This window comes from Homo sapiens, chromosome 2, assembly GCF_000001405.40.
Source record: "Homo sapiens chromosome 2, GRCh38.p14 Primary Assembly".
Classification (NCBI taxonomy): domain Eukaryota; kingdom Metazoa; phylum Chordata; class Mammalia; order Primates; family Hominidae; genus Homo; species Homo sapiens.
In genome coordinates, this window is record NC_000002.12 from 230,644,260 (window position 1) to 230,671,751 (window position 27,492).

At 49.3% G+C, this 27,492-nt stretch overlaps 15 annotated features.

Annotated features, from left to right (window-relative positions):
* Positions 204-373: an enhancer, noted in NCBI's record as "active region_17236". NCBI's record gives its function as "activates an Ori minimal core promoter by ATAC-STARR-seq in GM12878 lymphoblastoid cells {active_cell/tissue: GM12878}" and the evidence as "EXISTENCE:reporter gene assay evidence [ECO:0000049][PMID:35858748]".
* Positions 14,365-15,493: a transcriptional cis regulatory region, noted in NCBI's record as "candidate enhancer chr2.6880 targeted for multiplex CRISPR interference". NCBI's record gives its function as "positively regulates CAB39 gene expression with high confidence in K562 cells {active_cell/tissue: K562}" and the evidence as "EXISTENCE:mutant phenotype evidence [ECO:0000015][PMID:30612741]".
* Positions 14,381-14,470: an enhancer, noted in NCBI's record as "active region_17237". NCBI's record gives its function as "activates an Ori minimal core promoter by ATAC-STARR-seq in GM12878 lymphoblastoid cells {active_cell/tissue: GM12878}" and the evidence as "EXISTENCE:reporter gene assay evidence [ECO:0000049][PMID:35858748]".
* Positions 14,531-14,580: an enhancer, noted in NCBI's record as "active region_17238". NCBI's record gives its function as "activates an Ori minimal core promoter by ATAC-STARR-seq in GM12878 lymphoblastoid cells {active_cell/tissue: GM12878}" and the evidence as "EXISTENCE:reporter gene assay evidence [ECO:0000049][PMID:35858748]".
* Positions 14,911-15,180: an enhancer, noted in NCBI's record as "active region_17239". NCBI's record gives its function as "activates an Ori minimal core promoter by ATAC-STARR-seq in GM12878 lymphoblastoid cells {active_cell/tissue: GM12878}" and the evidence as "EXISTENCE:reporter gene assay evidence [ECO:0000049][PMID:35858748]".
* Positions 15,815-16,371: an enhancer, noted in NCBI's record as "H3K27ac-H3K4me1 hESC enhancer chr2:231524789-231525345 (GRCh37/hg19 assembly coordinates)". NCBI's record gives its function as "activates a minimal SCP1, AML or CMV promoter by ChIP-STARR-seq in naive H9 embryonic stem cells {active_cell/tissue: H9 hESC(naive)}" and the evidence as "EXISTENCE:reporter gene assay evidence [ECO:0000049][PMID:30033119]".
* Positions 18,652-18,731: an enhancer, noted in NCBI's record as "active region_17240". NCBI's record gives its function as "activates an Ori minimal core promoter by ATAC-STARR-seq in GM12878 lymphoblastoid cells {active_cell/tissue: GM12878}" and the evidence as "EXISTENCE:reporter gene assay evidence [ECO:0000049][PMID:35858748]".
* Positions 19,282-19,471: an enhancer, noted in NCBI's record as "active region_17241". NCBI's record gives its function as "activates an Ori minimal core promoter by ATAC-STARR-seq in GM12878 lymphoblastoid cells {active_cell/tissue: GM12878}" and the evidence as "EXISTENCE:reporter gene assay evidence [ECO:0000049][PMID:35858748]".
* Positions 22,159-23,024: an enhancer, noted in NCBI's record as "NANOG-H3K27ac-H3K4me1 hESC enhancer chr2:231531133-231531998 (GRCh37/hg19 assembly coordinates)". NCBI's record gives its function as "activates a minimal SCP1, AML or CMV promoter by ChIP-STARR-seq in primed H9 embryonic stem cells {active_cell/tissue: H9 hESC(primed)}" and the evidence as "EXISTENCE:reporter gene assay evidence [ECO:0000049][PMID:30033119]".
* Positions 22,975-23,269: an enhancer, noted in NCBI's record as "tiled region #12127; K562 Activating DNase matched - State 5:Enh". NCBI's record gives its function as "activates a minimal TATA promoter and a strong SV40 promoter by Sharpr-MPRA in K562 cells {active_cell/tissue: K562}" and the evidence as "EXISTENCE:reporter gene assay evidence [ECO:0000049][PMID:27701403]".
* Positions 23,239-23,718: an enhancer, noted in NCBI's record as "active region_17242". NCBI's record gives its function as "activates an Ori minimal core promoter by ATAC-STARR-seq in GM12878 lymphoblastoid cells {active_cell/tissue: GM12878}" and the evidence as "EXISTENCE:reporter gene assay evidence [ECO:0000049][PMID:35858748]".
* Positions 23,759-23,808: an enhancer, noted in NCBI's record as "active region_17243". NCBI's record gives its function as "activates an Ori minimal core promoter by ATAC-STARR-seq in GM12878 lymphoblastoid cells {active_cell/tissue: GM12878}" and the evidence as "EXISTENCE:reporter gene assay evidence [ECO:0000049][PMID:35858748]".
* Positions 23,829-23,908: an enhancer, noted in NCBI's record as "active region_17244". NCBI's record gives its function as "activates an Ori minimal core promoter by ATAC-STARR-seq in GM12878 lymphoblastoid cells {active_cell/tissue: GM12878}" and the evidence as "EXISTENCE:reporter gene assay evidence [ECO:0000049][PMID:35858748]".
* Positions 24,289-24,508: an enhancer, noted in NCBI's record as "active region_17245". NCBI's record gives its function as "activates an Ori minimal core promoter by ATAC-STARR-seq in GM12878 lymphoblastoid cells {active_cell/tissue: GM12878}" and the evidence as "EXISTENCE:reporter gene assay evidence [ECO:0000049][PMID:35858748]".
* Positions 24,709-24,848: an enhancer, noted in NCBI's record as "active region_17246". NCBI's record gives its function as "activates an Ori minimal core promoter by ATAC-STARR-seq in GM12878 lymphoblastoid cells {active_cell/tissue: GM12878}" and the evidence as "EXISTENCE:reporter gene assay evidence [ECO:0000049][PMID:35858748]".

The following is a 27,492-nucleotide window of genomic DNA, read 5'->3' on the forward strand; positions in this document are numbered from 1 at the left end:
TGGCTGATCTACGTCAGGGTAGCTAGTTTCCAATAGCCCAAGGGCCTTACTTTGTTTTTTCCTTTTTTAAAAATTAAAGTGTAATCTACCTACAGTAAAATTCAGTCTTTTTTCTTTTTTTTTTTCTTTTTTGAGACAGGGTCTCACTCTGTCACCAAGGCCAGAGTGCAGTGACACCATCCTGGCTCACTGCAGCCTTGACCTCCCTGGGCTCAGGTGATCCTCCCACCTCAGGCTCCCGAGTAGCTGGGACCACAGGAGCTCACCACCACACCCAGCTAATTTTTGTATTTTTAGCAGAGACAGAGTTTCACCATCGTGGCCAGGCTGGTCTCTAACTCCTAGCCTCAAGTGATCTGCCCACCTCGGCCTCCCAAAGTGGCGGGATTACAGGCATGAGCCATGGTGCCCTTGCGCCCTACCCTTTCTGATAGTTTCTCAAGTGCAGGAGTAGGGTGAGGCAAGAGAAGAGGAGAGTGAATGCCTCCTCACAATTTTGTGTCTTAGATACCTCTCTTGCCTCATTCCAGTCCCAGCCCTGGTTGTTCTACATAATACTTCCTTAAAATTTTTTATTTCTGGAGCATGCATGGTGGCTCACACCTATAATCCCAGCACTTTGGGAGGCGGGCAGATTTCTTGAGCCTAGGAGTTCAAAACCAGCCTGGGCAACACAGAGACCTTGTCTCTACAAAAAAATCTTAAAAATTAGCCAGGTATGGTGGCACACGCCTATAATCCCAGCTACTCAGGAGGCTGAGGTGGGAGGATCACTTGAGCCCCAGAAGTTGAGGCTGTAATGAGCCACGATTGCACGACTCCAAAAAAAAAAAAAAAATCATTTCTGGCTGGCACAATGGTGCACACCTGTAATCTGAGCTATTCAAGAGGCTGAGGCAGGAAGATTGCTTGAAGCCAAGAGTTCAAGACTGCAGTGTTCTATGACTGTGCCTGTAAAGAGCTATTGTACTCCAGCCTGGGCGATACAGCAAGACCCTGTCTCTAAAATTTGAAAGAAAGACTGGCCAGGTGCAGTGGCTCACTCCTGTAATCCCAGCACTTTGGGAGGCCGAGGCAGGCAGATCACTTGGGATCAGGAATTCGAGACCAGCCTGGCTAACATGGTAAAACCCCATCTCTACTAAAAATATGAAAATTAGCCAGGTGTGATTGTAGGTGTCTGTAATCCCAGCTACTCAGGAGGCTGAGGCACAGGCATGAGAATCACTTGAACCCAGGAGGAGAGGGTAGCAGTGAGATGAGATCGTACCACTGCACTCCAGCCTGGCTGACAGGGCGAGACTCTCTCAAAAAAAAAAAAAGGGGAAATTTTTTTTTTTTTTGAGACGGAGTCTTGTTCTGTTGTCCAGGCTGGAGTGCAGTGGCACGATCTCGGCTCACTGCAACCTCCAACTCCTGGGTTCAAGGGATTCTCCTGCCTCAGCCTCCCAAGTAGCTGGGATTACAGGCATGCGCCACCACGCCCGGCTTATTTTTGTATTTTTAGTAGAGACGGAGTTTCGCCATGTTGGCCGGGCTGGTCTCGAACTTCCTACATCAGGTGATCCGCCCACCTCAGCCTCCCAAAGTTCTGGGATTATGCATGTGAGCCACTGCGCCCGGCCGAGAAAAATTATTTCTACTGGTTTGTTTCTAGTTTGTAAAAATCCCATTGATTCTTATATATAGACTTTGTATCCAGCAACTTTTGCAGCCGAGTCTTAACTCACAGAATAAAGGGTGGGACGTTCCTGCTTCGGTTCATGCCTAAGAAAGCTCAGTGACAGGCAGATTCTGAAAGTGATGTTCCAGACTAGAAAACATGGAGTGTCTGTGTTTTCAAGGATCTGTGGGCTTTCCCCCAAAGCTTTCTATTGCCTCTCTCCACTCCTCAGTCACTTACCAGGCTCCCAGTGCATCATGGGCAAATGGAAATCTGGGAAATGGAACTTTAAGTTAGAGCCAGACTAGCTGGGAGAAGGGCAGGCACGAGGAGAAGGAGCGGTGGCTCAGCTTCTGTGAGTCCATGGAGGCCAGAAGTCCATCCTCCAGTTCCCTATCTACCCCCCTATATTTTCTCATGCTTTATTCTCATTCCTCATTACAAAAGGGATGTGAGGTGATGCACAAAACTACCTAATTTGGAAAGATAAAATTAATATAGAAGAAGCCTGAGAAACACAAACCCCTTCTCTACAAAAACATTTTGAAAAAAATTAGCCAGGCATGGTAGCACACACCTGTAGCCCCAGCTATCTGGAGGCTGAGGTGGGAGGATCGCTTGAGCTCAGGAGTTCGGGGCTGCAATGAGCTATGATCGTGCCACTGCACTCCAGCTTGGGTAACAGAACGAGACCCTGTAAAAAAAATTAATATATAAGGAAATTGAAGGGAAAATGGGGACACAGACATAAACTGAAATCAGGCTTGGGTGAGCAAAACTATGGAAGGAAAACACATCAGAGTCTAGGGGTTTGGAGAAGCCAGGGTCAAAGGCAGTGCCAGGGCCAGAAGCAGACCCAGATGTTAGAGCAGACCCAAGGGTGTGCCTCATGCCTTAGAGGGTTGAAATTTATTCTGACCACCGTGATCTCTCCTCTAGATGACTGCATTCACTCCTCTCTGTTCACCCGGCTTCTAGCTCTGCTTCCTCCGCACAATCTACTGTCCAACTAGCAGCCAGAGAGATCTTTTAGAAACACAAATTGGCCCCAGAATGGGAGAAAATATCTGCAAGCCACGTGTGATTAAGGGTCTAGCCTAGGCTGGGTGCAGTGGGTCATACCTGTAATCCCTGTCACGCGCGTTCGTGTAAAGAGACCACCAAACAGGCTTTGTGTGAGCAATAAAGCTTTTTAATCACCTGGGTCCAGGGCGGCTGAGTCCAAAAAGAGTAAGCAAAGGGAGATAAGGGTGGGACAGTTTTATAGGATTTGGGTGGGTAGTGGAAAATTACAGTCAAATGGGGTTTTTCTCTTGCGGGCAGGGGCGGGGGTCACAAGATGCTCAGTGGGGGAGCTTCTAAGGAATTTCACAAGGTTTATTGATCAGTTAAGGTGGGGCAGGAACAAATCACAATGGTGCAATGTCATCAGTTAAGGCAGGAACCAGCCATTTTCACTTCTTTTGTGATTCTTCAGTTGCTTCAGGCCATCTGGATGTGTACATGCAGGTCACTGGGGATATGATGGCTTAGCTTAGGCTCAGAGGCCTGACATTCCTGTCTTCTTATATTAATAAGAAAAAAAAAACAAGATAGTATTGAAGTGTCGGGGCAGTGACAATCCCAGCACTTTCGGAGGCCAAGGTGAGTGGATCACTTTGTCTGAGGCGTTTGAACCAGAGCAACTCCGTCTTGATTAGGAGCCGGGTAAAATAAGGCCGAAATCTACTGGGCTGCATCCCCAGATGGTTAAGCCTTCTAAGTCACTGGATGAGACAGGAGGTCAGCACAAAATACAGGTCATAAAGACCTTGCTGATTAAACAGGTTGCAGTAAAGAAGCCAGCTAAAACCCACCCAAACCAAGATGACCAAGAGAGTGACCTCTGGTGGTCCTCACTGCTACACTCCCACCAGCGCCATGACAGTTTACAGATGCCATGGCAACGTCAGGAAGTTACCCTATATGGTCTAAAAGGGGAAGCATGAATAACCCACCCATTGTTTAGCATATAATCAAGAAATAACCATAAAAAATAAGCAACCAGCAGCCCTCGGGGCTGCTCTGTCTATGGAGTAGCCATACTTTTATTCCTTTACTTTCCTAATAAACTTGCTTTCCCTTTACTTTATGGACTCACCCTGAATTCTTTCTTGCACAAGATCCAAGAACTCTCTCTTGGGGTCTGAATCCTGACCCCTTTCCTGTAACATCCTGAAGTTGGGAGTTCAAGACAAGCCTGGCCAACACAGTGAAACCTCCTCTCTACTAAAATACAAAAAATTAGCCAGGCATCGTGCCATGTGCCTGTTGTCCCACCTACTCGAGAGGCTGGGGCACAAGAATCGCTTGAACCCAAGAAGTGGAGGTGGCAGTGAGCTGAGATCGGGACACTGCACTCCAGCCTGGGTGACAGAGTGAGACTCTTTCAAAGAAAAAAAAAGAGGGAGGGGGGTCTAGCATCCAGAATATTTAAAGAACTACTACAACTCAATAAAAGAAACAAGTAACCCAGTTTTAAAATGGACAAAGGACTTGAATAGACATTTCTCCAAAGAAGACATACAAACGGCCAACGAGCACACGAGAAGATGTTCAACATCATTAGTCATTAGGGAAATGCAAATCAAAACCACACCCACTAGCATAACTATAATCAAAGACAGACAATAACGCGTATTGGTGTGGTTGTGGAGAAATTGAAACCTTCGTATTTTGATGGTAGGAGCTTAAACTGGTGCAGCTACTTTGGAAAACAGTTTGGCGGTTCTTCAAAAGGTTCACGGAGTTACCATGTGGCCCCCAAAATTCTACCCAAGATAATTGGAATACTATGAAGCAATTAAAATGAAAGACTTGGCTGGGCACGGTGGCTCACACCTATAATCCCAGCACTTTGGGAGGCCAAGGCGAGTGGATCACGAGGTCAGGAGTTCAAGACCAGCCTGGCCAAGATGGTGAAACCCCGTCTCTACCAAAAATACAAAAAGAAAAAAAAAATAGCTGGGCGCGATGGCGGGTGCCTGTAATCCCAGCTGCTTAGGAGGCTGAGTCAGGAGAATCGCTGGGACCCAGGAGGCAGGGGCTTCAGTGAGCGAAGATTGCACCACTGCACTCTAGCCTGGTCGACAGAGCAAGACTCCGTCTCAAAAAAACAATGAAAGACTCCTACTATGTGTGACAACTTGGATAAAATCTCATTCATCTACTATTGAGTGGAAGAAGCTAGGAGAAATAAGTAGAAATTGTATGATTCCATTATATGAAAGTCAAAAATAGATAAAGCTAATTTTTTGACCTATGTCAAGAGTATAGAAAGGAACCAGAAATCCTTGGCCTTGGAGATGGCAAGAATTAGGGCCTCAGTCACCACCTGGGCTCTGGAATTTTCTTCGCTTTTTGTCTCAGCTTCTGTTTAGAAGTTAGCTTCAGTCCCTCCAAATGTCTTTTTCTTTCTTTCTTTCTTTCTTTCTTTTTGAGACAGAGTCTTCCTCTGTTACCCAGGCTGGAGTGCAGTGGTGCAATCTTGGCTCACTGCAGCCTCCCTGTTCCAGGTTCAAGCGATTCTCCTGCCTCAGCCACCTGAGTAGCTGGGATTACAGGTGTGCGCCACCATGCCCAGCTAATTCCAAATGTCTTTTTCTACAATCCATGGCCTGTGGCAGACTCTGGATGCACATATTTCCAGTCCCCTCATTTGGAACAAGACCTCTTTTCATTTACATCCCATTCAAAAATTGCTAAGGAGGCTTCTAACTAGCCAGAGATTATAAATACTGACCCCTGGCTTGTCTGGCCAACAATAGAATAGGCAGCTCCCACGAGGCCCCTGTGGTTGGAGTTGGAGGTGGGGAGAGGTCTCCCAAAGAAGGCCTCTCCAATGGGATGTGCTGTTTCCAAAAGATGGATGGGTGCTAGGCAGACAAGCTCATAGATATCCACACCATTCAGATCCAGCTTTCTTGGAATTCACTCAACTGATGCCTTCTTCCTTCCCAGACCAACAGTTCATGCCCCAGTCCTCTCCTAGGTTGGTCCACTCACACAAAATCTTACAAGCAGCTGGAGAAACACCATCAGGAAGCCGGGCTTGATGGCTCACCCCTGTAATCCCAGCACTTTGGGAGGCCGAGGCAGGTGGATAACCTGAGGTCAGGAGTTTGAGACCAGCCTGGCCAGCATAATGAAACCCCGTCTCTACTAAAAATACAAAAAAATAGCTGGGTGTGGTGGCGCACACCTGTACACCCAGCTACTCAGGAGGCTGAGGCAGGAGAGTCACTTGAACCTGGGAGGCGGAGGTTGCAGTGAGCCAAGATCACGCCACTGCACTCCAGCCTGGGCAACAGTGTGAGACTCCATCTAACAAAAAAAAAGAATGAGATCCTAATACTAAAAAAAGTTCAAGATATGTTAAGTCAAAAAGCAAGTTGCAAAACTGTATCTATGGTAACATGATAATAAGGATGATGATAATAATAATACTATCTATGTTAGCAGATGCAGAAAAAAAAATCCAAGCAATAGACACCAAATTACTAACGTTAATAGGTGCTGGAAAAGGGGATCGAGTGGGGAGATTTATGAGAGACTTTCATATTTCTTTAGGATTGAAAGCATAAAATAATGGTCTAATTTTTAAGAAAGGAATTTGAAAGTTGGGGACAGTGTGACAGATGTTGTTTGATTGCCTTCCAGACAGATGTCTTGTGTCCACAAGGTTGTTTAAGAATTCAGACTTATCTCCTTGTTCACTGACCCATAACACAGCAGAATAAATGTTTGACATGGGAAAATTCTCGGGGACAAAAGAGCTTATTCAAGCAGAACTAACAGCCATGCACTATCTCATAATCAGCAGAGAAACGGACATGGTGCCTGTGCTGGGGGTGGGGACAGGCAGAGGAGAGGCTACAGAGGGCTTACAGGGAACAGTAGTAGCTCTTGTGGCTCAGGCTTTGCTGAAATTGATGCAGCGGTGGCCTGAATGGTGGAGATTCTAGGCGCGAGGCCACAAGGAGGAAAGTCAGGAAGACGGAGATGCCTATGTGATTGAGTGCTTCAAAGCAGGAGCAGACACAATTAATACAGAAAATGAAGAGGGCAAGATGCACGAATCTTGAAGCAGGTGATAGGGGAATCACATGCTCTTGAAATGAAGGCCTGTTTTAAGGAGATCTGCATAAAACATGCATCCTGAGTTTTTCTTTCTTTGCTTTTTAAAAAGTTTATTTTTTTTATTGTGGCAAAATACACAGAACATAAAATGTACCGTCTTAACAATTTTTGAGTGTAATGTTCAGTGGGTGTTAATTACGTTCATCTTGTTGTGTAACTGTGACCAGCGGAGGGTGTCCAAGTTCTTGGCGTCTTGAACAAAGAATTGGACAACACGCATAAACAAAGCAAGGAAAGAATAAAGCAACAAAAGCAGAGATTTATTGAAAATGAAAGTACACTCCACAGGGTGGGAGCGCCCCAAGCATAGGGGCTCAAGAGCCCCGTTACAGAATTTTCTGGGGTTTAAGTACTCTCTAGCTGGGCGCGGTGGCTCACGCCTGTAATCCCAGCACTTTGGGAGGCCGAGGCGGGCGTATCATGAGGTCAGGAGATCAAGACCATCCTGGCAAACACGGTGAAACCCCGTCTCTACTAAAAATACAAAAAAAATTAGCCGGGCATGGTGGCAGCCGCCTGTAGTCCCAGCTACTCGGGAGGCTGAGGCAGGAGAATGGCGTGAACCCAGGAGGCGGAGCTTGTAGTGAGCAGAGATCGCACCACTGCACTCCAGCCTGGGCAACAGAGCGAGACTCCATCTCAATTAAAAAAAAAAAAGTACTCTCTAGAGGATTCCACTGGTTACTTGGTGTACGCCCTATTTCCTGTCATAGCTGAAGTGTTTCCATTTGATTTCATTCTAGGAAATCAGCATGAATCGGCCTTATGTTCCCTGTCTCCAGACCCTATTCTCCCGCCTCACACCCATCACCACCATCCATCTCCAGAACACTTTTCATCCCGTAAAACTGAAACTCTGCACCCATGAAATAGTAACTCCTCATTCTCCCCCTCCCCCAGCCCCTGGCACCACAATTGTACTTTCTGTCTCTATGACTTTGACTACTCTAGGTACCCCCATAAGTGGAATCAGAAGGTATTTGTCTTTTTGTGACTGGCTTGTTTCACTTAGCATAATGTCCTCAAGGCTCATCCCTGTTGTAGCATCTGTCAAAAGTTTGTTCCTTTTTAAGGCTGAATAATATTCTATTCTATGGAGAGACCACATTTTGCTTATCCGTTCATCCATCAATGGACACTTGGATAGTTTCCACATTTTAGCTATTGAGAGTAGTGCTGCTGTGAACACGGGTGTACAGGTATCTCTTTGTATCCTTGCTTCAGTTCTTTTGTGTGTATACCCAGAAGTCATCCTGGGCTTTTTTGGCATGGGGCAGGTTATTTCTCAATAAGATGGCAGTAGTAATAATCCCTGACTTGCAAGCTGCCTTCTACTTTTCCAAGGATGTTCCCATCAAATCCTTCCCTCATTTGATTTTCACAACCTGCAAGGAAGGCAAGGCAACTGGCATCCATATGGACATGGAAACCGAGGGCCAGGCTCCTGGTGTCAGGCTCCCCCACCCCTCAGGATGTGGCATTCCCTTCCAGGCCCCATCTGAGCACATAGGTGGCCGCATGCCCATTTCGGTCTATCTCAGCTTCAACTCTGGCTGGCCTTCTACCATGTATTTTATTGTTATTGCAGCAAATATTTTTTGTATTGTTAGATATGAGTTATAAATTTCTTTTCAAAGAATTAACATGTCAATATGTTCAATTATTTGCCTTCTACTTTTAAACTTCCTCATAAAGCAAGCTTTTTCAATTACCTACTCCACCCTGACTCATTCTGATCACCTGCTCCACCCTAACTCATTCCTATTACCTGCTACCTGCTCTGCCCTGACTCCTGCCAAAGCACTCACTCCATCATTCTCTTTAAATTAGCCAATCAGAATTAGTTTAGCCTGTGCGGTCTAACCCTAGCCAATAGGGGAATGACACAGCAGCAGGGGCCATGTGCATCAGAGATAAGAACCCCTTCCCCTCCCTTGTCCAGGTGTGCGCTCACCATTGCTCCATCTGTAAGGGCGCACCCTTCTATAGAAGTAACTTGCCTCGCTGAGAATTAAAAAGAAGATTTTATATTCGAGTGCTATTTCTTTTACGGCACCGAAACTTTATATATAACAGTATCATAGACTCTTTGTGGAGGGAGGTGAGAAAGAGCTATTTCCAGGTCCTTATACGTATAAATAGGCATGTCCACTAGCCCCCCTTTCTTCAAGGCAGCTAGATGGGAGGGGCACTGGTTTCCCAGAATCAGCTTTAATTCCATTAAAGTAGATCAGAAAAATGGCTTATGCATTTCCTCAGGAATGTTGATTATTTTTTCCCAGAAGGAAGTTGTTAATTGCATCACACACAAAAAGTTTTGTCCCAGACCAGTTTGGGGACAATTATTTTTCTTTTCTTTTTCTTCTTTTTTTTGACACAGTCTCACTCTCTGTCACCCAGGCAGGAGTGCAGTGGCACAACCTCAGCCCACTGCAACCTCTGCCTCCCAGGTTCAAGCTATTCTGCCTCAGCCTCCCGAATAGTTGGAATTACAGGCGCCCACCACCATGCCCGGCTAATTTTTGTATTAGTAGAGACAGGGTTTCACCATGTTGGCCAGGCTGGTCTCGAACTCCTAAACTCAAGTGATCTGCCTGCCTCGGCCTCCCAAAGTGCTGGGATTACAGGCGTAAGCCACGGCACCTGCCCAATTTCTCTTTTACAGATTGTTGGTGTACATAAAAATCACCCTAGGTGCTTATTGAAAATGCTAATGTGTTCATAAAGGAGGGTGAAGTGGTTGCCTCCTCCATATCTGAGGTCTAACAGGTGACTCCGCTCCTCAAAGGTGACCCTTCCCAGAACCATCTGCTCCACGGAGGCCACTGGTCAGTTGGCTGCTGGTCACACCGGGACCAAAGTCTTGGGGTATATGCAGTGGCCTTCCCCAGAGCCTCCCCAAAGGCAAGGGGGTGGGAAATGTTTCAAACCTGGGATAGAAAGAACCTCCCTTCCTTCCCCAGGCGAGCACTCCAACTTGGGTGTAGCCAACATTATTGAAATCTTGGGAAGACAGACAGGTCCCAGCCCACCCCCAGTGGCAAAATAGATGTTCCTTTTCTTACTGAGCCTCTCGGCCATTCTGCCAGCCTCCCACACAGTTGCTCTACCCCTTGGTGGGCAACACAAGCCCTGCCCCCAACCGCCTAAACATCCTCCCCACTTTAGTGTGACGAGCAGACACCTACAAAAACCACCCGCCTTTCCTTCCCACACCAGCCCGAACCTAGGAGGCCTTTCTGCGTATTCAAAGCTGGGAGAAGGTGCTCTTCCTGCTCTCCCCACCTGTGAGGCAGGAGATGGAGCTGAGGACCTGACTGCCTGTCACTGTTACCAGGTTCTTGGCATTTTGAACAATGAATTGGACAAAACCCACAAAAAATGCAAGGAAAGAATGAAACAACAAAAGCAGAGATTTATTAAAAATGAAAGCACACTCCACAGGGTGGGAGCGGCCTGAGCCAGCGGCCTTAAGGCCCAGTTACAGAATTTTCTGGGGTTTAAATACCCTCTAGAGGTTTCCATTGGTTACTGTGTAAATGAAGAGGATGAAGTAAAGTTACAAAGTCATTTACTCGATGTACACTCTTTGTGAATGAAGAAGATATTTGCTGTCATCACTGAAGTGTTTCCAGGTTCCCTGCCTCCAGGCCCTATTCTCCTGCCTCATTGCCACCTCCTACTCACGGCTCTGTTTTTTCAGGTAGGATGTTGAGGTGGAGGATCGGCAAAGACAAGGGGCTCTTTGATATGAATGAAGCTGTCAAAGGCGTTTGAACCACAGCAACTCCATCTTGATTAGGAGCTGGCTAAAATGAGGCTGAGACCTACTGGGCTGCATTCCCAGATGGTGAGGCATTCTAAGTCACAGGATGAGATAGGAGGTCAGCACAAAATACAGGTCATCATAAAAACCCTGCTGATAAAACAGGTTGCAGTAAAGAAGCCGGCTAAAACCCACCAAAACCAAGATGGCCGTGAGAGTGACCTCTGATCGTCCTCACTGCTACACTGCCACCAGCGCCGTGACAGTTTACAGATGCCTTGCCAATGTCAGGAAGTTACCCTACATGGTCTAAAAGGGGAGGCATGAATAATCCACTCCTTGTTTAGTATATCTTCAAGAAATAACCATAAAAATGGGCAACCAGCAGGGCTGCTCTGTCTATGGAGTAGCCATTCTTTTATTCCTTTACTTTTCTTTTTTTTTTTTTTTTTTGAGCGGGAGTCTCACTCTGTCGCCCAAACTGGAGTGCAATGGTGCAATCTCAGTTCACTACAACCTCCGCCTCCTGAGTTCAAGCAATTCTCCCACCTCAGCCTCACAAGCACCTAGGATTACAGGCGCCTGCCACCTCGTCTGGCTAATTTTTGTGTTTTTAGTAGACAGCGGGGTTTCACCATGTTGACCAGGCTGGTCTCAAACTCCTGACCTCAGGTAATCCACCCTCCTCGGCCTCCCAAAGTGCTGGGATTACAACCATGAGCCACCGAACTTGGCCCTTTACTTTCTTAATAAACTTGCTTTCATTTTATGGGCTCACCCTGAATTCTTTCTTGCATGAGATCCAAGAACCCTCTCTTGGGGTCTGGATTGGGGCCCCTTTCCTGTAATAAAGCCACCTGACCCTGCTCCCAGAGCTTGTCCCCTTTCTTCCTGTGGCAAATGCGTCTCAGCAAAGGCTGCAGGACGATGCCGACACAAAGGAAGGAGCCCAGGCCGGCAAGGCTTGAACACCCCCCAGGATGCCTGGACTCCTCACAGAGGCCCCCCAACTTGGACTCTGCTATAAAAGTGAGGAAAAGGAAAACGGAATAAATCGAGCGTAAAGTGGATTGTGGGGCAGGGGTCTCAGAAGTGGTGGATTAACTGGAACTGACTGTGGGATTCCACCATGAGACAGAAATGGGGCCTTAGATAGAGACTGAGGTGTGGAATAATTAAGGTCTTTTTTGATTCAAAGTCGAATCTGTAGCTCGGAAATAGAACTTGCTGCTAACCCGTGCATTTAGCACCTAATATAATTCAGGAACTGTGCTGGGCACTGAGGATTAAATGTTTAAAAATGTGTTCTAAGGAGCATAGGGTCCTGTGTGAGAGGCAGCCATGAGCAACCCCATACACACCACCTGGTGCTCACCCTTGAGGGCCACCCAGAATGGGGGAGTTGAGGAGGCATCCGGAGCCGGCGACGTTTGAGCTGCAGAATCCTGCGTTCCTCCTATAAGCCAGCAAACACGAGAGACATTTTTATTTAACATTTAAAAACCAAGATATAAGAAAGTGGGCCAGGCGTGATGGCTCATGCCTGTAATCCCAACACTTTGGGAGGCCAAGGCGGGTGGATCGCCTGAGGTCAGGAGTTCGAGACCAGCCTGGCCAACATGGTGAAACCCCGTCTCTACTAAAAATACAAAAAATTGGCCGGGCATGATGTTGGGCTCCTGTAATCCCAGCTACTCTGCAGGCTGAGGCAGGAGAATCATTTGAACCCAGGAGGCGGAGGTTGCAGTGAGCAGAGGGCGTGGAAAAAAAAAAAGAAAGAAAAAAAAAACTAGATATGACAGTGACATCAACATTGAAAATAAAATTCAGGATGAGTAGGAATCCGGGGGATAAAAAGGTTTGGGGTAGGAAGGAGTTCCAGGTAGGGGGAGCGGGCTCACAGGTGGGGGGTTTCAAGGACTGAGTAGGAGGCAACAACCTGTCCGCAAGAGGAGTGGGCCTTGCTGGCCCAGCCCAGGAAGTTGGGTTTTATCTTGAAGGTAATTGAAAGCCATTAAGGGAAACAAGCCTGTGGGACCTGCATTTCTAAAAGCCTCTTGTGTAGCTCAGTGGGAGTGGCCTGGAGGGGGTTCCTGGAAGGAGCCAGCCAGTGAGGGGCTAAGGCAGTAACTGGTGGGAGCAGGTGAGGGCCCCAGCAGGAGGGAAGACGTGGGAGCATCGGAGTGGACCTGTGGTTGGGGGGACACGCACGTGGGTGGGTGGGGGCAGGAGGGGAGACATGGGAGCATCGGAGTGGACCAGTGGTCAGGGGGATGCACACGTGGGTGGGTGGGGAGTCACGAAGGTGGTGAGGAGATGAATAACCAATACGGTTATTAATAACTTGTTACCTCCAGATTAGGAACAGATTTTGAGGCATAGAGATCATTTGAATCAGGTTCCTCCTTCCCTGGATTGGGGCTGGGTGGAGTTTCCTCTCAGTGTTCTGGAACGTTCTCCAAAGTGCCTCAGGGCTGCCCAAAAATAACCGAAAGGACACCCAGGACCCCCTCCTGGACAGCGAAGACATCTCTCCAAAGGCCTCAGCAGAGCCCCCGTGTTTTGGGGAGCCCGTCGTCCCCAACCCTCTCCTGGTACCACAGAACAGCACTTACTTCGCTAATTGTCTCCTGGTAGAAACGGCACAGCTAACGTGAAGGAACAAGGCATCCTAATCCACTGTGTGGTGTGGCAGAATCCATGACAAGCCACACAGGTGTAGGGCTGCCGCGCTGTCACACAGGGTCCCAGCGCTGAAGGACCGGGCGGTGAGGGGGCAGGGAAAGTCAGAAAGGGCACCCAGGGTACAGGGCACAGTGCTCAGTTTGCTGTGGCTGCCTGAGTAGTAATAATCACAGCTACAACTGCAGGTGCGCTCAGGTGCCAGGCCTGCGCACTGTCTCGGAGCATCTCACTTTATGCTCATAGCGAAGGAGGTACAAATTTCAACCCCTAATTACCATTAGCTGTCATCATTTTTATTGTGGCTCTGCCTGGCTAGCCCTTGCTCTCCTCACCCCAAGTCAGTGGCCCACTGAGTCCTCAGAGCCTGGCTCCACAGCCCCAGACCACCAGGATGGCCTCTCCTCCTGATGCTCCCATCTGAGTCTTCGCTGCTTTGAAAAATGCGGGTTTTTCTTCTGTGTTGAGTTGAAGACGGAGCTCTGCCTTTCTCTCCTGAGGTGCCCTGCACATGTCAGGGTCCCCGTGGGTGGCCGGAAGGAAAAGCTTCATGAAGGGAAGAAACCAGCCCTTCAGTGGTATGGGGCTCCCCTGGTCCCTGGAGGAACAGTAGCCTCTGTCTGAGTCCTAAACTGGGGCAACAGGCCGGGCACAATGTCTCAAGCTTGTAATCCTAGCACTTTGAGGCACCGAGGCAGGCCGATTGCCTGAGCTCAGGGGTTCGAGACCAGCCTGGGCAACATGGTGAAACCCCGTCTCTACTAAAATACAAAAAATTAGCCAGGTGTGGCAACATGCACCTATAGTCCCAGTTACTCGGGAGGCTGAGGCAGGAGAATTGCTTTAACCCAGGAGGCGGAGGTTGCAGTAAGCTGAGATCACACCACTGCACTCCAGCCTGGGCGACAGAGCGAGACTCTGTCTCAAAAACAATAAAAATAAGTAAATAAAATAAACAAATAAACTGGTGCAGCAGTCCCCTCAGTGGTCATGTGTCCACAGGTTTCCATCACAGCCCTGCAGTGACAGGATGGCTAGATGCCCTGCAGAAATCCTTTCCTGGACATACTCCCTCCTCCAGCCACCAGCCCCCCACTGGGTACAGTGCTCATCACAGCCTGGGGTGGAGGCATCAGCAATGCCCTCTTCAAGCTCTTCCCAAAGAAAGTGCCCCATCCGCCTGCCTCTGGCCCTGCCTGACCTGCACATGAGCCACCAGCTTCCTGCCAGGCCTCTGGTGATCCCTGGAACAGTCTCTAGAGCAGGAGCAGGAGCAGGAGCAGGCAGGGCCTGTATCTTCACTCTGCCTGAGCCCAGGCAGGCTCAGCTATGCCTTCAGGCCCCTCGACCACAATCATGGTGACCACATCCCTGGGATAGTCCCTGCTTTGATAACCTGCCTCACTAGTGCCTGCTAAGCACCGCTCCGCCCAGCCTGGTGTGTCCTCCACATCTTCAACCTCTGCAGTCTTCCCAGGGCTGCCCATGCCCTCCCTGGTTTCCAGTCTCTCCTCTACCACTCTCCTCCATCCCCTCAGTCATCCCCCGGTGCTCCCCTTCCAGACCCCACGGTTGCCCCTGTGCCACCTGACTGTCCAACTTTTCTCCAAGCACTCAAGATGGTCTCAGTGCTCCCCACCCCCACCTAGTGAGTCAATTTCAGTACCTGGGCCCTCTAATTCTGCCCTGCGGAGTCTCAAAGTATGTGCTGCCCACTCACCAGAGGAAACAGAAAGCACCTTCTCAGAATACAGCAGGCTTTAATTTCTAGAACTGTGGAGTCATTCAGAAAATGAGAAGAAGAGTGTTGGGTGTCTGATAAGTGAAGATAAGGGCTCAGAGGGATTGCAGGTCGTGGGGTGCGGAGGGGTGGAAGGGAAGACAGTTATGCTAATTTTTCTAAAGAAGAGCCTAGACATCAGCCCATACATAGGATCAGCTGTGGTTAGGAGGCAGCGCCTTACCAAAACCTGCAGGAACAGCCCCCTCCTCCGTCACTCTGTGCCAAGCCCAGCCCCTGTGGCTGCAGCTTGAGAAGCCCCTGATGTGCTCTCAGAGGCATTTCCCCTGGCGCAGTGGCTGGTGGGCACCTGGAACAGGAGCCCTGCAGCTTCCCCAGACTCAAGCAGGCAGTCACGGCCTTGTGCAGCCTCGACATGGCCTCTGGCTTCTCAACAAGGCCCCCAGTCCATCTGCCTCTGTGCCCGGCCTGCTGACACACCACTGCCCTCGTTCTATGCCAAGCACCTTCCAGTGTGCCACCCAGGGACCGGTGGCAGGAAGCAGGCTCCTAACAGACATGGATTGGGCTCCTGGGCACAATTACTCTACTTCTTTTTTTTTTGAGACGGAGTCTTGCTCCGTCACCAGGCTGGAGTGCAGTGGCGTGATCTCAGCTCACTGCAACCTCCGCTTCCCAGGTTCAAGCAATTCTCCTGCCTCAGCCACCCGAGTAGCTGCGATTACAGGCACGTGCCACTGTGCCCAGCTAATTTTTTTGTATTTTTAGCAGAGACAGGGTTTCACCATGTTGGTCAGACTGGTCTCGATCTTGTGACCTCGTGATCCACCCTCCTCGGCCTCCCAAAGTGCTGGGATTACAGGCGTGAGCCACCGCGCCTGGCCCACTTACTCTACTTCTGCACCCCCCACCCTGCACATAAGGAGGGTACATCAGACCCAGAGGATGGCAACCCCCCCAGACTCAGAGGCCACAGGGAAGGGCCTGCGCTGGCCCACCTTCACCTCGATGCTGACTCGCAGAGCTCCGGGAATGTGGACCAGCAGGGAAGGAAAAGGTTCCCAGATAGACTCCGGAAACAGAGCTCACATGACCCCCCTGGGACTCTCTCGTCCCCGCACTGTCCCTGCCAAGGAAAGGACAAGGCCTTGGGCCAGTCTTCTGCAGGAGGTGTCCTGGACAGGCAGTTCCCAACCCACGTGTACAGGCAGTGGCTTCAGATTTGTCTCTGGGCTGTGCTTGTTCCTCTAGGAAGGGCCCCAGCAATTCCAGCCCCAGGGAAATTTTCTCTCCTTCTTCTGGTGTGGATCAGCCAGGGCATTTCACAACCAGCTACAGATGACAAAGAACTGGTAACAGGGCCACCTCCCGTGCCCTGGTCTGGGTGTCCCGGTGAAACTGAATGAAATGAACAGCAGGTGGCCGGGGTCAAACACCAAGTTAAACAGAAGGGGACAATCTCAGCTCCCAGGCAGAGACCACGGGTGGGGGAGGGAGAGCGGGCAGGAGGTTACAGACCACGTGAATAAGAGTTCAGATCTTTGTGGTACTGGTTGGCAGTTTCCGTTCTTACACCCCAGCTTCCTTCCTGATTCTCTGCCCAGCACAAGGGGATTGGGGAACATGTCCAGCCAACTATAGCCAAAGGCAGCACAGGGCAAGGTATACAGTCAGTGCCAGTTAATGGTTAAGACAGCCAGCATATCAGGCATTGCAGTGAGCCGAGATTGCACCACTGTACTCCAGCCTGGGCAACAGAATGAGACTCCATCTCAAAAAAAAAAAAAAAAAAGAAATAGACAGCCAGCATAGGAGTCAGACAGGATCCCAACTCCACACTTGAACTCTCTAAGCCTCGGTTTCCTCATCTGTAAAATAGTGATAACATTGAAGACCATCTCACAGGGATGCCAAGAAAATTAAATGAGAAACTCTATGGAATGCACTTAGGACAGGGCCTGGCACATAGTAGGACCTCAATAAATATTAGCCATACTATCAACTTGACTGAGAATGGTAGTTGAAGAACCAGTGGGCTCCACACAATCTCATATTAGAGAATCTGACTCTCCAGGCAGGCGTGAGAGTCAGTGCATGATGATTAAATCCTTTGAGGCACACGGGGGAAATGTGTCCTGCCTAGGGCTGTCTTACTTCTCTTCCTCACCCCTGTTGGCCTCAGTATCTGGAACTGCACCATAGAGATGAGTCCCTTTGGGTAGTGCCAGGCAGCGACTCAGATCCCAGGGTTCCAAATAGAGACACAGGGGCACTGCTGTACTGGGGGCATGGAGGGCTATAGCATGGGCCGGCTTAGGGGTGTGGTTTGAGCACCCCAGTTCCCCATAGGCCTGATTCCCCACAGAGCTCAGATGTAGAAGGGCCTGGCAGATCGGGCAACCAAAGCTCCTTTCCCTAACCTCACAAGGTCCAGAACCCCAAGATTTAGACTTTCTTCCTTTCCCCAGCCCCCTTATCACCACTTCCTGGCACTCAGCTCCTGCATCTGAGAAATGAGTATGGTACCAGGGTTGTGGTTAGGCTCAAATGAGCAACCCATGCAAAATCCTTTGAACCGAGCTAGACATAGGTGTGGTATTAGTTTGATAGGGCTGCCATTACCTAGATCCACAGACCGGGTGCCTTAAGCAACAGAAGTATACTTCCTCATGATTCTGGAGGCTGGAAGTCTGAGATCCAGGTGTTGACAGGGTTGACTTCTAAGAGCTCTTTCCTTGGCTTGTAGACTGCTATCTTCTCCCTCTGTCTTCACATGGTCGGCCCTGCGTTTGTGTCCTAATCTCCTCTTTTTTTTTTTTTTTTTTTCTTTTGAAATGGAGTCTCACTCTGTCACCTGGGCTGGAGTACGGTGGTGTGATCTCGGCTCACTGCAACCTCCGCCTCCTGGGTTCAAGCGATTCTCCTGTCTCAACCTCCCGAGTAGCTGGGCCTACAGGTGTGTGCCACCACGCCCAGCTAATTTTTGTATTTTTAGTAGAGGCGGGGTTTCACCATGTTGGCCCGGATGGTCTCGATCTCCTGGCTTCGTGATCTGCCCACCTTAACCTCTCAAAGTGCTGGGATTACAGGCATGAGCCACCGCGCCCAGCCAATCTCCTCTTTTTATAAGGACATCAGTCATATTGAATCAGGGTCCATCCTAATGACCTCATTTTAACTTAATTATCTCTTTAAGACCTATCTCCAAATACAGTCACATTGTGAGGTACTGGGGCTAGGATTTCAACATAAGAATTTTAGGGGACACCCTAATGTCCCTAATGTCACCAAATAATGGTGGCAGAAAGGAGGTGTTTGTTGCACTGAACTAAATAGCAATGTTTCCTGAGCCCCTAATAGTTGGTGCTCAGCAAACATTACTATTTAATTCAGTACAACAAATACCTTCTTTCTGCCAGCGTTATTCTAGGCCCTTTGCTTATGAGCAAAGCAGCCCAATTCTTTGTCCCTGTGGGGTTTACATTTTGGGGGTAGAGGGAGGGGCAAGAGACATCATATGTCAGACATACTAAAAAGTAAGTTATATAGTGTGCTAAAAGATGGTACGTTCTATACAAATAAATAAATAAATAACAGAGTAGAGTAAGGGGAATCTGGAGCGAGGGCCAGCATTTTGAACAGGGTAGTCAGAGCAGGCCTCATCGAGGCAACATTTGGCAAAGCCTTCAAGGAGATGCTCTATGGTCTATTATGGTTCTTCCTAGGGAATCGTATCAGAATTGTTGGGCTTTGAACTCCCATTTCCCTGCCCACTTCCACCCACGCTGATATCAGAGCAGAGACAGTGCCTCTGAGACACAAGATCTGACACTGACATTTGACTCTGCTCTTTATTAGCAGAGCCATGCCGGGCAAGTTACTCAACCTCTCTGAGCCTGTGCCCCACACACTGTACTCCTGCGGGCCATCACCTCTGTGCAGTGGGGTCAGGGTAGAGGCATGGCCCAAGGTCAGCCACCCATGGGCTGGGCTGCCCTAGGCTAGCTGGGGTGGGTGCTGGGCTTTCAGAAGTAGCTACCAGATTTTGCATGAGATGACCTGGGTATCAATTAGGACTGTGTTCACCTGCATGTAACTAAAAACTAGAGTAACAGGGATTTTTTTTTTTTTTTTTTTTTTTTTTTTTTTTTTTTGTCTCATACAAAAAAGGAAGTTTAGAGTTGGCAGTCAAGGGCTGGTACCATCGCTTAGGGGTCAGCCAACATCAGGACTCCTCCTGTTCTCCTCCACCACACTTAGCATCTGGCTTTTCCCCTCATGGTTGAATATGGCTGCTGCACCTCCAGGCGTCCAAACTGTCTTCCAAAAAGTTAGAAGGAGAAAACGATGAAGTCAAAGATCAAAGAGAAAGGGCTAAAGAGCATGCCAGTTGAATCTGTTTCTTTTTAAATATCCACCCACCAGTCAGGCATGGTGGCTCATGCCTATAATCCCAGGACTTTGGGAGACCGAGGTGGGTGGATCATCTGATGTCAGGAGTTTGAGACCAACCTGACCAACGTGGTAAAACCCCATCTCTACTAAAAAGAGAAAAAATTAGCTGGGTGTGGTGGCGGGGGCCTGTAATCCCAGCTACTCGGGAGGCTGAGGCAGGAGAATCACTTGAATCCACGAGGCAGAGATTGCAGTAAGCTGAGATCGCGCCATTGCACTCCAGCCTGGGCAACAAGAGTGAAACTCCAGCTCAAAAAATAAAACAAAAAAAAAAGTAAATTTCCACCCACTGACTCCTGCTCTTATTCCACTGGGCAGAACTAGGTCAACATGACCACCACTACATACAAAGGATCCAAGGAAGTAGTTGAGCTGGACACCTTGCCACCCCCCAAAGGCAGGATGCTGTTAGTAAGGAAGAAGGGGAAACTAGATACTGGGTAGGTGCCCAGCATATGCTCTCAGCTGAGCTCAAGTGCAGTGAGGGTGGGCGGTGCATCACAGCCCTGGCCCAGGGCCACCCCCAGGACTGGGAGGAGAGCCCAGAGCTGAGAGGGGCAGAGCCTGGGCTGCAGGTCTCTGAGTCTGCATGGTATGGGCAGTCTAGTGGTGGGAAGATTTTCTCCCTCCCCCTCCCCACTCACTTATGTGCACCGGCATCCACGCAGCCTCCACTTTCACAGGCTGAGGTGCTGTCTCATTTCTCTCACCCTCTGCCACACCACCCCTTGGGTCTCCCTGACATTGCGCTGCTTTCTCAGGCCTTGGCTGGAGCACAGTGCAGAGGGGGTGGGGATGGGGGAGCACTCCTCATCGCTGCTTTTCAGAGGATCCCCCTCCACTCTTCAAAAGAAAGGATGGGAAGTGGGGTGTGGGGCTGTGTGCTAAGGAAGGCTCTCCTTCCAGCTTCTACTGCCTGCCCCCCACCTCAGGATCAGAAGTGGGGGGCTCCAAGGGCCCCTCATTCCAGAGCCCATGGGCTAAAGCAAGTAAAGATGAGTGAGGATTAAAGCAAAAGGCAAACATGAGGACACAGAGCCTGCCCTCCCTGTCGCAGCAACCTGGTGAGGATGAACTCAGAGGCTGGCCCTAGTGGTGGAAAGTTAAGGAAAGACTGCCAGAAGATGAATGCCAAAAACCTAGGGCTCCCCTTCTTCCTCCCCATATCCAAGCCCTCATCCTCCTTAGACATACATCCAGAGTCTGACTGCTCCTCCCGCCTCCACAGCCACCACCCTGGTCCATCCTTTGTCCCGACTCACGTAGATCATGACATCTCTCTCCTTCCTGCACGTCCAGCCGCCCCAACCACCCTCATCACACAGCCAGACCAGCCCTCTCGTGTTTCCCAAATCTCCATGATGGCTCACAGGTTCCCATGGATTCCTGTGGACTCCCAGGATCACTTCAGCCACAGGGAAGTGTGCTCCTGACTCAGGGCCTTTTCATTTCTGGTACCTTCTGCCTCGGAGGCCCTTCCCCCTGGAGCCCTGGGCTGACTCCCTTACCCTTCAGACTTTCACTAGCATCTACCAGAGCCTTCCTCTGACCTCCCTGTGTTAATGACAACAGCTCTCCACCCTGCTGCATACCCTAACATGCTGAGCAGCTTTCTTTTCTCCACACCACGTGTTGCCACCAGACAAAAGTGCTACAAGCTCCTGGAGGGAGGGACCAGGTCTATAGTTCACTGCCATATCCACAGTCCCTCATGTACTCCCTCAGTGCTTGCTGAGTGAGTGAGTGAATGAATGAATGAGCGAACCACAAGAATATTATTTGACCTCAAGAACACCGCAGGAACTGGCAGGGGGACCATGATCTTCCTGAACGCTCTGCATGAGATGACTTGGCAGATCCCACGGACTTGCCTTCTTAAAACCACCCTGGAGGCCGGGCACGGTGGCTCATGCCTGTAATCCTAGCACTTTGGGAGGCCGAGGTGGGCTGATCACGTGAAGTCAGGAGTTCAAAACCAGCCTGGCCAACATGGTGAAACCCCATCTCTACTAAAAATACAAAAAAAAATTTGCCTGCATGGTAGCGGGTGCCTGTAATCCCAGCTACTTGGGAGGCTGAGGAAGGAGAATTGCTTGAACCCTGGAGGCAGAGGTTGCAGTGAGCCAAGATTGCACCACTGCACTCCAGCCTGGGTGACAGAATGAGACTCCATCTCAAAAAAAAAAAAAAAAAAAAAAACCCACCCTGGAAACAGGGAGAGAATCAGAGCGAAAGCTTCCAGTTCAAACGCAGGTTGAGAATGAGGTTTGCAGAGCCAGCGGGCAGTGAGTGCTGACCGAGAAGACCCATGGCGGCCCACTGCAGTGGGGGCGGCGGCAGTGTGACCTTGTTGAAACTAGCCGCTCCAGTGACCCAAGGCTGGGGGAGATTTGGCTCTGCTACTTTCCAGCACTGTGAGCTTGGGAGCCTTACCTGCTCCGAGCTTCAGTTTCCTTACTTGTATAATGGGGATTAAATAACACACTTTTTTTTTTTTTGAGATGGAGTCTCACTCTGTTGCCCAGGCTGGAGTGCAGTGGCACTATCTTGGCACTATCTGCAACCTCCGACTCCCGGGTTCAAGCAATTCCCCCGCCTCAGCCTGCCCAGTAGCTAAGATTACAGACACACGCCACTACGCCCAGCTAATTTTTGCATTTTGGGTAGAGACGGGGTTTCACCATGTTGGCCAGGCTGGTCTCGAACTCCTGACCTCAAGTGATCCACCCACCTCGGCCTCCCAAAGTGCTGGAATTACAGGTGTGAGCAACCACGCCCAGCCCTAACACACTTTCTTTATTGCCCTTGAATCAACCGCATTCCAAGGCCAACGTCATTTGGAAAGGTTGACCTAGATTTCCTTTTCCATCTCCACTGGGACCTCCCCTTTCACCCACCGGAACCCAGGAGGCTCTGATGCCTTGAACACACAGAAGGGCTCCTAATCTTTTGTACATCAAAGTCGCCCCAGCTTCTTTGCTGCCCAAGCTCACTGGTGTGGTTTCCTAATGTCCCCGACAGTTTGGGAGATCTCTGCCAAGGCTGGCCACCTGGTACCAGCCCAGGTGCCCCACCTGTCTCCCACCCCCAGGTCTCTGGTCACCTCCTGGATACTGTGAGTACTGGAGAACTTGCTGCTTGGGGACACCAGCACTCTCTCCCCTGAGGGCTGGGGCATATGCTCTCCAGACCCACCTTTCTCCTTCCCTCTCAGGACCCCTGGAGTGATCTCATCAACATCTGGCTTAACTCATCAGGGGATTTTCTGCAAGTGAGAAGGCTAATGCCTCTGGGGCCAGGCAGGCCTGGTGAATGTATGACAAAACTGCAGGGCATGGTAGGAGCGTGTACTGGTTTTCTAGGGCGCCGTAATGAAGTACACACAAACTGGGTGGCTTAGAACAATGGAACTGTGTCGACTCACAGGTCTGGAAGCCAGAAGCCTGAAATCGAGGTGTTAGCAGCACCATGCTCCCTCCAAAAGCACTGGGAAGGATCCATTCCAGGCCTCTCCCTGAGTTTCTGGGGGTTGCTGGCCGTTTTTGGCATTCCTTGGCTTGGAGACACGTCACCCAGTCTCTGCCTTCAGCATGTGGTATCTTCCCTGTGTGTGTCTGTGTTCCCATTTCCCCTTTTTCGAGGACAGAAGTCAGATCAGGGGCCCACCCTACTCCAGTATGACCTCATCTTAACTCATTACATCTGCAATGACCCTCTTTCCAAATAAGGTCACATTCTGAGATACTGGCAGTTAGAACTTCAACATGCATATTTGAAGAGGGTGCAATTTAGCCCCTAACAGGGCTGACGAGCCCTAGAGGGTGAGCAAGTCCACTCCAGTTTACTGTTGCCCTGCAGGGCTCTGGGAGCCTGTCCAGGGTTTCCTGGGACAAGGTACTTTCTGTGCCTAAACTGGGTGAGTCCCAGGAAGCCAGCTTGGTTAGTCACCTCAAATGGGGCCCTATCTTCTTATGTTTCAAGAGAAGTCAGAAACTCTGACTTCACGTGAAATCTCCCAGTTTTTGAATGGGCATCTAATTTGACAAATTTTAAAATCCTGGGCCCCATCTGAGGGTGTCTAGCCTGCGAGTGGCCAGTGGTCACCCATTGCCTAGCATGGCAGGGCAAATTGTAAGACTCCAAAAACTGCAAATAACAGCAACTGTGGCCATGAGCTCAGGCTGGGCAACTTGTTCTGGGGCCCTGCATCAGCCCCATCTCTTTGGAAGCCTTCCTGGGCCCCTACTACCCATGCTCAGCAATGCTTCTGGCTCCAGAAACTTCCAGCACTGTTTCAGATAGGGGGACTGGCATTTGCAAACTGTCTTGGAGTTGGTGACCCAGAAGGAGGGACCCCAGACTAGAGGAAGATGAGAAGGCAGAGAGTACCAGACAGTGCCATCTAGGGAGAAGAAACAAGTCATGAATATCTGATGTAGGGATGGGACGGACACTAAGTGGGAAAGGCCACCCTGCTGCCCAGCCCCCACCACCGCCAGCACCACCAGGCTGGCCATCTCTTTCCCACCTTCCCCACCACCATGCACGTGGTGCCATGCACCGCTGCTCCTCACCCACTCAGACCAGCTCCAGCACCTTTGGAGGTGAGATTAGCTTCTCACACAACTTCTAAGTCTTGATCATAGCACATGCTCTGCGGTTTTGCTGATGGTGACTAACGGAGGGAATTTCAGGCTAGATCAGAAAGGAAGGTGGAACAGGGTAAAGTGGGTGAGGATGAGGCTTTCTGGTTGCTCCTCCCCAGTGTCCAGGAAGTTGCCCATCCAAGCCTCTTTCCCCTGGTGGGGCTTGCCGTGCTGTGTCTCTGGTTTGCTGGCCTGGGCAGTGCCACACTGCCAGGCTTTGCAGATCTGGAAGGGGAAGGAACAAGCCAAAGAGGAAGTGGCATCAAGAAGAAGATGGGAAGGGCAGTCTCCCCCTTCCCTCTTGCCAGGCCTGCAGAATTGGGGAACCCGTATAAAAGACAACATCCCTGCTGGGAGCTGCACCCTCTGCCCGGCCCGGCCCCAGGTGCCCTGATCTGCCTGCCACGACCTGGGCAAAGCATGCTGTTCCTGCACATACTCGGGCTTTCTGAAACCTGAGAAGGCAAGGGGGGTGAGGGAGAGTCCCACACAGCCCAGGCCCAGCTGGTCAGGCTAATTTTAGGTTTTTCTCAGCCTGACTGAGGCCTACTAATCTCCACCATGCCAGAGAATGCACATGGAGCAGAGGCTGTCTTTACTCATGATGCCCCCTCATCCCTCCAAAAAGCTCCTTTTTCTGTCCAATTTCAATTTCTCTTTGACCTGCCCCAGGCCCACCCATCCCAGGAAATCTGCCCCGACCACCACCTCACAAAGAGAGCTCTCCCTTTCTCAGTGTGTGGGGTAACTGTGGTTGGAAACCACAGTACAGCCCTGTGTCCCCAGCCCTGGCACAGTGCTTAGCTCAAAATAAGCCCTTGGTAAGTGTGGGTGGAATGAATGAATGAGCGTTTTATTACACAGTGACAGCATGCTACATGCAGGTTAGGTCTAAAGTTAGCAAATAAGGTTAAAAGAGTTCAGAGTTTAAATTACCCTTGAAACTCCATCAGGAAGACAGCTTATTGGGATTGACATTAGATCTCCTCAAGAAGTCCAGTACAAATCCATTTCCTTTTGTTGAGGAGAGGGACCTGGACCGCTGGCCCAGCTCCCCAGCCCTTGGCCCAACACACGCACTTGCTCAGGAATTCCCGAGGTTTATGGGACATGCCTCCAAAAAAACATACATCTAGAACTCCTAGATGTAAGAGCCTTCCCATCGCCCATCAGCCTTCTCCAGGGACTCTGCCGCTGTTGTCATGACAGCCAGGACAGAGTCTAGTGGAGCCTCGGGAAGTCCGACAGGCTGAGAATGAAGTCAACCAGAGGCAGAGAGGGGCCCCCACACAGAGAGTGGAAATCAGAGGCCTTTGGTGAACAGCCAAAATGACCAAGTTTTGAAGAACTCCCTGAAGTATGCCAATAACAAGAAAAAGGGGAAACTCGTCAGCTCCAGGCATCAAATGAGACATGCCCCAGGCTAGAGCCTGAAAAGGCCAGCAGGGAAGGGGGGCTTTCTCCTCTTACCCCATTTTCCTCCCTATGTTTCAATGAGTTTTTCCTATTGTTTTATTTGAGAATTTCCAAACACATAGAAAATATGGAAAGAATAGTACAGCAAACACTCACGAGCCCTTCATCTATGTTCAGCGACTGTTTAGATTTTGCCTTGTTCTCTGTCTACCTGTATTTGAAACATTTGAGAGTGAGTTACATAAATCACGACACAGCCCCAAATATTTCAGCTGCATCTCATAAGAATTGTCCATTCTCCTGCATAACCACAAGACCAAGTTTAAGGGTAATTGAGTTAAAAAAAAAACACCCACAACTTTTTTTTTTTTTTTTAAATAAAGAAGCTTTGCATGACTAGAAAAATAAGGGAGGGTCAGGGATTCCAGAGAAAAATTATACCAGACCAAGCTTAGATTTGTTCTGATAAACTTCTAAACTGGGTTCTCAGGCCGGGCGTGGTGTCTCAGGTGGGGCGTGGTGGCTCACGCCTGTAATTCCAACACTTTGGGAGGCTGAGGTGGGTGGATCACCTGAGGTCAGGAGTTTGAAACCAGCCTGACCAACATGGTAAAGCCCTGTCTCTATGAAAAATACAAAATTAGCCAGGCATGGTGATGCATGCCTGTAATCCCAGCTACTCAGGAGGCTGAGGCAGGAGAATCGCTTGAACCCGGGAGGTGGAGGTTGCAGTGAGCGGAGATGGCACCATTGCACACCAGCCTGGGCAACAAGATCAAAACTCCATCTCAAAAAAAAAAGAAAGAAAGAAAGAAAGAAAGAAAGAAAGAAAGAAAGAAAGAAAGAAAGAAAGAAAGAAAGAAGGAAAGAAAGGAAGAAAGAAAGAAAAGATATCTAAATTGGGTTCTCATTACAGAAAAACAAGTAAGCGTTCAGCTCTGCCAAACATCTATGCAAGAAGTCTGTAGATGCATATTTAACAGCAAGTCTCCAAATCATATATTTATACTTCCCAAATGATGTTTTGAGAAACTGGAGCTGTTCTATATTTATGCTTATCACATAGTAAGTGCTTAATAAGTTCAAATGCAAACTTTGTCTTTGGGGCAGTAGAAAGTCTTCAAAGCCCACCATCTGAGCCTACATGGGTGATATAGTTTGGTTTTGTGTCCCCACACAAATCTCATCTCGAATTATAATTCCCAGGTATTGAGGGAGGGATCTGTGATTGGATCAAGGGGGCAGTTTCCCCCATGCTATTCTCATGAGATCTGATTGCTTTATACACGTTTGGAAATTCCTCCTTCTTTTGTTCTTTTCTTTCCTGCCGTTTTGTAAAGGTGCCTGTTTCCCCTTCTGCCATGATTGTAAGTTTCCTGAGGCCTTCCCAGCTATGCAGAACTGTGAGTCATAAATTAAACCTCCTTCGTTTATAAATTACCCCGTCTCCAGTCTCGGGTAGTATCTTTGTGGCAGTGTGAATACTAATACAATGCAGCTGGCTCAAACTGAATGAGCCCTGACTCTGCCTCACAGGAATGGCCTTTAGCTAACCACAAGATGATCTCTCTGATCCCATCAAACACCTGCTCTAGCTGCTCTGAGGAGACCTCCTTAGCCACCCAAGTCCTCCCAGCTTTCCTTACATAAATCTCTAGTTCATTTGTGACCACTATCACAAATTAGCTGTTAATTTGTCCTCTATTTTTCCCTGTGGGTTAGTCTTATTTCCCTAATACTAGCCTAAGACTATCTTCCTCTCCACTGTGGCTCACAACTGGCAGCCAAAGTTTCTTGGTTGACTCCAGCCCCCTAAAGATGGGGCAGAGAATGCCAGTCCCTGGTGTGCCAGGAACTGAGCTAAGCACCTTCCAAATAAGGTCTCATTTAATCTTCACAAAACTCTATTGTATGAGTACTAGCATAGCTCCTAATTTAGAGATGA